This window comes from Homo sapiens, chromosome 3, assembly GCF_000001405.40.
Source record: "Homo sapiens chromosome 3, GRCh38.p14 Primary Assembly".
NCBI classification, from domain to species: Eukaryota; Metazoa; Chordata; class Mammalia; order Primates; family Hominidae; genus Homo; species Homo sapiens.
The window spans coordinates 38,833,762-38,841,635 of NC_000003.12; the positions used below are offsets into that span (position 1 = coordinate 38,833,762).

The 7,874-nt window shown below is 41.2% G+C and overlaps 2 annotated features.

The window, feature by feature from the left end:
• Window positions 546-625: a silencer, noted in NCBI's record as "silent region_14215". NCBI's record gives its function as "represses an Ori minimal core promoter by ATAC-STARR-seq in GM12878 lymphoblastoid cells {active_cell/tissue: GM12878}" and the evidence as "EXISTENCE:reporter gene assay evidence [ECO:0000049][PMID:35858748]".
• Window positions 2,744-3,320: an enhancer, noted in NCBI's record as "NANOG-H3K4me1 hESC enhancer chr3:38877996-38878572 (GRCh37/hg19 assembly coordinates)". NCBI's record gives its function as "activates a minimal SCP1, AML or CMV promoter by ChIP-STARR-seq in naive H9 embryonic stem cells {active_cell/tissue: H9 hESC(naive)}" and the evidence as "EXISTENCE:reporter gene assay evidence [ECO:0000049][PMID:30033119]".

Here is a 7,874-nt window from a genome sequence, read left to right on the forward strand (position 1 = left end):
TGTCGTGGGGTGGGGGGAGGGGGAGGGATAGCATTAGGAGATATACCTGATGTAAATGATGAGTTAATGGGTGCAGCACACCAACATGGCATATGTGTACATATGTAACAAACCTGCACGTTGTGCATATGTACCCTAGAACTTGAAGTATAATTAAAATATATATATATATATATATATAACCTGCATTTTCAGCAGCAGAAGGAAGTGGAGCTTACTTCTCCAGTCGACTTGCCACTGAACACTTGGTTGTTAAAAAAGAATCCTTTAAAACTGTTTGATGTTTTGGACTAAATAAAGCTATGCTCCCACTCCAGTTGAGTTTATAATGGAGTCTAATTTTATAAAGAAGCCAATTAATGGCTTTGTAAATATAAATGAAAGGATCCCTGCCTTTTTCTCTTGACCAAAAGGCCGCAGAAGTAAGTCCTGTAAAAATGTCAAATTTTGCTCTAAAGAATGGCAGGACTTCTTCGATGAGAATAACAGGAAATGACTCACAGAGGGCACTCTGAGGCCGCACAGCCATACAAAGGGGCCCCCTGCGCAGTAATGCCTGGCTGCTGGCCCCGGCCAACTGCAGAGAGGAAAGTGCCCCGCCCACGATGGAGGATGCTGTCCATCTCCTCTAGGCAGGGGCTTCTCAGTGGGGCCCCAGGGACTGCTGGCATGCTGGCTTGTAGAGATGAACAACACGTGAGGCTGAGAGCTGAGGAGAGTCAGGATTTGATGCCTCAAGGAAAACTCATCTAGAAATAATGCTAAATTACCCACACAGAACTATCAGTCTAAGGACTATTACCTGTATTGGACTCTCTCTAGCTCTCATCTCCATCCCACTGGACAAGTTGGGTAGGGTTTATTGCAGAGCAGGTGGAGTTCTGGAAGATACCTCTCCTAATTTCTTGTGGACTAACTCAGGCCCGAATCTTTTATTCTGCCATCTAGCTCCCTATCTGCCTCCCTTGTACTTCCCTTCTTCCTTTTCTCCTGTAATCCTTTTTTCCTATTCCCTCCTCAATCCCTGGGCTCTGCCCCATCCAAGATCTCATTGAGATTGGGGGCTCTACCCTGGACTTCCCTGATTTCCAAGTGATGGGTCAGAAGATATTCAGAGGGAACATACCAGTGCAACCACAGCATTGTTAAAATATAGAACTTTTTCCATAGCACTGGTTAAGTGGCAGCCACAGTGAGCCTCAGTATTAATCAGAAAGCAGAATCTGTCTCAGATGGTTCAAGAAACTTTAGTAAAGTGACTATTTCCAGAAGTATAGATGGAGTTACATTAATTATCTATGCTATGTAACAAATCACCCCAATACATTGCAGCTTAAAGCAACAAATATTTATTATCTCTCACAGTTTCCAAGAAGTGAGAATTTGAGAGTGACTTAGCTGGGTGGTTCTGGCACAGGGTCTCCCTCACAAGGTTGTCGTCAAGCTGTCTGCAGGGGCTACAGTCATCTCTTCATCTCAAGACTTGCCCGGGGGCTGCAGGAGCTGTTTCCAAGCTCGGAATTGTTAACAAATTGCAGTTCCTTGCTGGCTATTAGTTAGGCTTCATTTTTTTTTGCCATGGGGGCCTCTCCATAGGGCTACTCGCAACCTGGTGGCCTGCCTTCCCCAGAGTGAATGATCCAAGAGAAAGCAAGCCAGAGGGCAGTCAAGACACAAGTCTCAGTCTGACACCCCCATTACTACTGCTGTCTGCCTCAAACCAAGGCATACAAAACAAACCAGGGATGATGTGGGAGAGACTATTCAAAGGGATAAATAGCAGGAGGCAAAGACCAGCAGGGGCCATCCCAAAGGCTGGCTATCCAGGAGTTAAGGATGTTAGGCACTCAGAGACTAGCAATAGCAGGAAACCATTTCCATCCTTAGACTGGAAGGGGAAAAGGAAGACAGCATTGCTAGAGCCCAGGAAAGCTGGAACAATGGAAAAGGAGTGCAGGACAGGATTTGTAGCACTGGAGGAATATAGCCACTGCTAGAAACACAGCCTGGAGCAGGGAGGAAGCAGGGAAGAAAAACCCTGACTGCTTCTCTTCCTTTCCTTCTATCTCTTGCTGGTGCCTCCCATTGACTTAACCCAACTGGAAGTCAGTCAGCAAGGAAGTCCAGCTGATGCAGCCTGAAAGGATCTGTCTCTCTGGATACAGGTCAAGGAAGAGAAAAACAGATAATGAATCTGAGGTGGGAGTGTGGGTAAATGGATTCTAACCAGCACCCCTAACTGTTCCCTATGCCCTCACCCCTAAAATGTCCTGGGATCCAACCTCTAAAGGGCGACACCCAGCTACATCTCTAATCCAGCCACCCACTGCCTTCCTTTTGGCCAATCTCCAAGGACCCTCTCGCACTCAGTGACATTCCATTCTGTTTGGTCAGTGCCCAAGCCTCACCAGAGATTAAATATTTTTAAATATCACCTCTGGCTAAAACAGACAGCAAAGGAAATAATTTTAACTAAAGCAGAGAAGGATGGCCCAATGAGAGTCAAATGAGGGAGTTCGGTCTTGAAATAGGGAGAACCCATGTTTCACACACTAAAGCAGCCTGAACCAGGGCAGAAACAGGCTCTATATCCCACGGGGAAGGGTGCCCCTGGCTAAAAAAGAGCTGCCATTTTGGATTCGGAACAAATCTCTCAGCACCACCAGCATTTAATCTGTGGTTTGGCATGCTTTGTTGGGTTCCAGTGGTGGGGTGGGGGGCAGGGGACAGATCAGCACACTAAGCCCATGTTCCCAGACAGAACATCCTCCACACCTTTGTCTGAAAGCTGTTCTCTGCATAGCAAAAGGCTATGGAGAACTTGAGGGATGACAGGAGTGGTACTTAGCTTGGAATGAAGTTAGGCAGAGAAGCTTCCCCAGATTGAGTCCAGAGCTGCACTGGGATTCAATGAGAAGGAATCGAGAAGCAGAGGACATTCCAGTGGAGGGGATTGTTGTGAGGAGGATGTGGAGGCAGGAAACACAGGGATTATGCAAAGAACAGCCTGGGGGCTGGCAGAGACTGAATGGGAAGTAATGAGTTTGGTGGATTAGAGGGAAAATGTCCATCATGGCCTGCAAAAGAAGACACAAGTGGCCTCATTCTTTCTCTCCCTGGGGGCTGCCTGAGCCATTTATCCTATGCCCGAGGCCAGCCGTGGCACATCTGGGCCGGCTGATGAAAAGTCCGTGATGGCAGGTGGAGTTGGATGTCATAAAGGAAAGGAGGCCAGGTCACTATAACTTGTCCTGTACTTTTGCATAATTATTTGCACATTGATTGTAACATGTTTACTGTCTAAATGAGCATAAACCCGTCAAGTATTTCTCTGTCTTTTCCAACACCTCTGGTTTTTGGCATTTCTGCCCTTGGCCATTCCTTTACAGACCTCCAACCCGGTGCGTGTCCCCTCTTCTTGCTCTGCTCACCCAGAGGTAAGGGCTCTTGAGGATGAACAAGCAGAGCACACACCTCAGAGAGCATTTGAGTCAGCCCTTCCGTTTTATTAATATCAAAATCGGGCCTAGAGAGGGGATGGGTCTTGGTGACGGTCACATAGCAAGTTGGTGGGAAAGCAGGGACTGTGAGGAAGGCAGGGAGGTTTTCTCAGCATTGAAGGGAGGGAGCAGGAAAGTAGCTTCAGGCCCCAGTGGCTCTGAGAAAAGGCTGCTGTTGGGCTCATCAGAGCATTCTTAAGTGTAATTGACTTTTAGGCATTAAACTTTTACCAGAATGAGCTCACACAAGGTCTGTAGGGAGAGGGAAAGTGCCTGGCGTTTCCTGCCTCATGGGGCAGTGTCTGTATGGAAAGCCCCTCCTCCTGGCTACAGGATGTGGCCCTCTCCTGGGAGGGAGAAGAGAGGTGAGGTCCCGGGAGATGGTGCAGGCTAGGAAGCAGAGTGTTCAGTGCCCAACTTGTCCTCTCCAACGCTGGGTGGAAAGAGGACAGGGGTTTAGACCACCCACCCAACAGCCGTCAAGCAGTCATGCTCTGTGTAGAGAGAGACTACTGCAGGGGTAGGGAAGAGGAGACAGAGAGCTCAGTCCCTCCTCCTAGGACACAGCCCTCTCCTCTCCTGACCAATCTTGCTCACTGGTTTGTCCCTGAATCTGTCCTGCCATCAATCATGAACCTTGTTTCAATCACTACCAATCTCTGGACATCAGTGTTCTCCTCTGTGTAATGAGCTGAGCCAGATGATGTGTTGAAGCTTTCTGAGTGTGGCCATTCCCTAATGAGGGCATTATCTTCATTCTTAGGTGGGCAGGTGCCAAGACATAGCAGCCATCCCTGGAACAGCTGCAGCCCCTCAGTTTGACTTCAGAGCTAAAATGAGGGATGCTGAGGTTTACTGAGACTTCCATTTAAACCCCCAAACCTCAAGGGCAGGCTTTTTGTTACAAGTTTGTTGAAGCTGACATACTGTGAACTGCACACATTTAAAGCATACAACTTGATAAATTGTGACCCATATTATTCACTTGAGAAATCATTACCATGAACAAGATAGCAAACATATCAACATCCTCAAAAGCTTCCTCCTGCCTCTCTATCCTTCTTTCTTATCAATCCCACTCTCACCCCCAGCTTACCATGGGTTTACTTGTCATTACTGTTTAGTTTACATTTTTTAGAATTTTAGATACATGCAATCACTCAGTTTATACTTGTTTTTGTCTAGTTTCTTTCACTCAGCATAATTCGTTTGAGAATCATTCCTGTTATTGCTATCAACTATCAATAGTTCATTCCTTTGTGTTTACTAGGTAGTATAGCATTGGATGGATATACCACAATTCATTTATCCATTCACCTGTTGATAGATATTTGGGTTGTTTGCAGCTTGGGTCATTAAAAATAAAGCTACTATTAGTGTTTGTGCACAAGTCTTTGTGTAGGCATGTTTTCATTTCTATTGGGTAAATACCTGGGAGTGGAATGGCTGAGTTGTGTGGTTGGTAGGTGTACGCTTAACTTTACAAGAAATAAGGAAACTGTTTCCTAAAGTGGCTAGCTATTTTATGTTTCTACCAGCAATATATGACAGTTCCAGTTACTCAATATCCTCAACAAAACTTGATAGTGTCAATTTTTTCTTTCTTTTCTCTAAAGTCCACTTTATTGTTTTTCTTCTTCAAAAATTAGTACTTTATATGTTGTACTTAAGAAATCTTTGCCAACCCAAGATCATTCTCCTATGTTTTCTTGTAGAAATTTTTAGTTTAGCTCACATTTATGTCTATGTTCTATTTTGGTTAATTTTTGTATATGGTGTGAGGTAAGAATCAATGTTCGTTTTTGTTGTTTTTGTTGTACCTGAGTACCCAGTTATTCTAGAAACATTTTTTGGAAATGGTTTCCTCATTGAATCTCCTTGACATCTTTGTTACGTATCAATTGAACATATATGTGTGGTTCTATTTCTTTTCTGGATTCTGTTCTGTTCTGTTCTGTTCTGTTCTGTTCCATTGAGCTATTTATCTATATTTATGCCACTAATACACCATCTTGATTACTATAGCTATAGAACATTTCTTGAAATCAGGTAGTGTTGACCACTCCAACTTTTTTCTTCTTTTTCTGTTATTTTCGCTATTCTAGGTCTTTTGTATTTTCATATAAATTTTAGAATCAGCTTATTAATTTCTACAAAAAACTTTCAGGGACTTTAGGATTGCTTTGGGGAAAAGTTATGTCTTAACAATATTGAGTCTTCTGATCCATGACCATAGTATTATCTTCTTTAACTATTTAGATCTATTTAAATTTCTCAAAATGTTTTGTAGTTTTCAGTACACAGGTCTTGCACCTTAGTTGTCAAATTTATTTCTAAGTATTTCATATTTCCCCATGCTATTGTAAATAGTATTTTAAGTTTTAACTTACAGTTGCTCTTTGCTAGCATATAGAAATACAATTGATTTTAAAATAATGATTTTGTATCCTGCTGCCTCCCTAACCTCACCTTTTTTGTAGATTCCATAGGAATTTCTATGTAGTCAATTATGTCATTTGCCAACAAAGACAGTCTTACTTATTTTCCAATGTATCTGGATGTCTTTTACTTTTTCTTGCCTTATTTTCCTGCTTAGGATTTTCTATACAATGTTGAGTAGAAGTTTCATGAGCAGCCTTCCTTGCCTTGTTTCAGATCTTTGGGGGAAAGTATACCATTATGTAGTTAGCTCTCCTTTATTTTATGCTCTTCGTCAGGTTGAGGAAATTCCCTTTTATGCCCAATTTGCTGGAATCTTAGAGCATTTTTTTAAAAAAATCAGGAATGAACGTTAAATTTTGATAAATGACTTTTTTTCCATCTTTTGAGATAGTCATATGATTTTTCTTTTTTAGTTCATCAGTATGGTGCATTACACTGATTGATTTTCAACTTCCGACCATTCATGTATTTCTGGGATAAATCCCATTTGTTGTAATGTATTTTTAAAAACATATTTCTGGATTTGATTTGCTAAATTTTGTAAAATATCTTTGGATCTATGTTCATGAAGCTTATTGGTTTGTAGTTTCCTTTTCTTGATACGTCTTTGTCTGGTTTTTATACCAGGACCTCATAGAGTCAATTGGAAATATTTCTACTGCTTCAATGTTTTGCAAAGTTGTGTAGAAATTGAATTATTTTTTCCTTTCCTGGAGTTTTCTTTGTGGAAAGAATTTTAACTAAAAGCTCAATTTTTAACCTAGATATAGTACTATTCAAGTTATTTCTTCTTGAGTGAGGCTAGTTTATGTCTCTTGTGGAATTTATTCACTTCATCTAAGTTGTTGAGTTTATCAGAATAAAATTGTTTGTGATAATCCCTTATCATGTTATTTTCTGTAGAATTTATTGTCTATAGAATTAGTGGGTGATTCTACAACAACACGATAATAAGGGATTCATTCTATTCTCATTCCTGGTATTGGTCATTTATAACTCTTCCTTTTTTAGCTGGAAATTTTTCAGTTTATTGATCAGCCCAAAGAGCCAGCTTTTGGTTTTATTGATTCTCTTTATTATTTTTCTGCATTCCATTTCATTAATTTCTCTCTTATCTTTATTATTAATTATCTTCTGATTAGGAGCATGTTTTTAGTTTCCAAAGCAGCTTTAGGGATTTTTCAGGTATCTTTCTGTTATAGATTTCTAATTCAATTCCATTGTGATTGAAAACATATTTTTAGGATTTGAATATTTAAAATTTATTGAGACATTTTATAGTCCCATCTTGGTAAATGTTCTATAAGTACTTAAAAATAATGTGTATTTTGTTCTTACTGAGTTCTATAAAAATCAGAGCAAGTTGGCTGATAGTTTTGTTCAAGTCTCCTATACCTTTTTATATTTTCACTCAGTCCTGGAGTGGTCACTCCCAACTCCAGGCAGGGCGTTTCCCTCACTTGATGTCTCCCCTGATTAGTGGTCCATCCCTTGAGGCTTTGGTGCCCTCCCATGGAATAGTAGAAACCTCTCTTTTCAAACTTCAATGTGAAAATGGATGATCCAGAACATTACTGAGACCTTCACTTAGATCCAAAGCAATTTTTTTTTCAAGTATTGCTCTTTAAAACATTAATTTAGGAGAAAAACTGCGTAGAAGTCTAACTAGGGCTCATGAATCAATAGAATATGAGCCATCAGCATGATTTGGCTCCAGGTATATTTCCTATAGTCCTATAGCTCCAATATACCTCCTATACTTAAAATATAGGAAGAACTTAGAGTATGGAAAGGGGGCAGGGGAACTTGAAGCTGCACTGGCACCAATGACACAGTGTTTTTACTTAGCCTGTATGCTCATTCAGAGTATCTTGAATTGGGGGATTGGTGCAGATTAAAGGAAGCTAAATTAGTACCCCCAGGATACCTCTT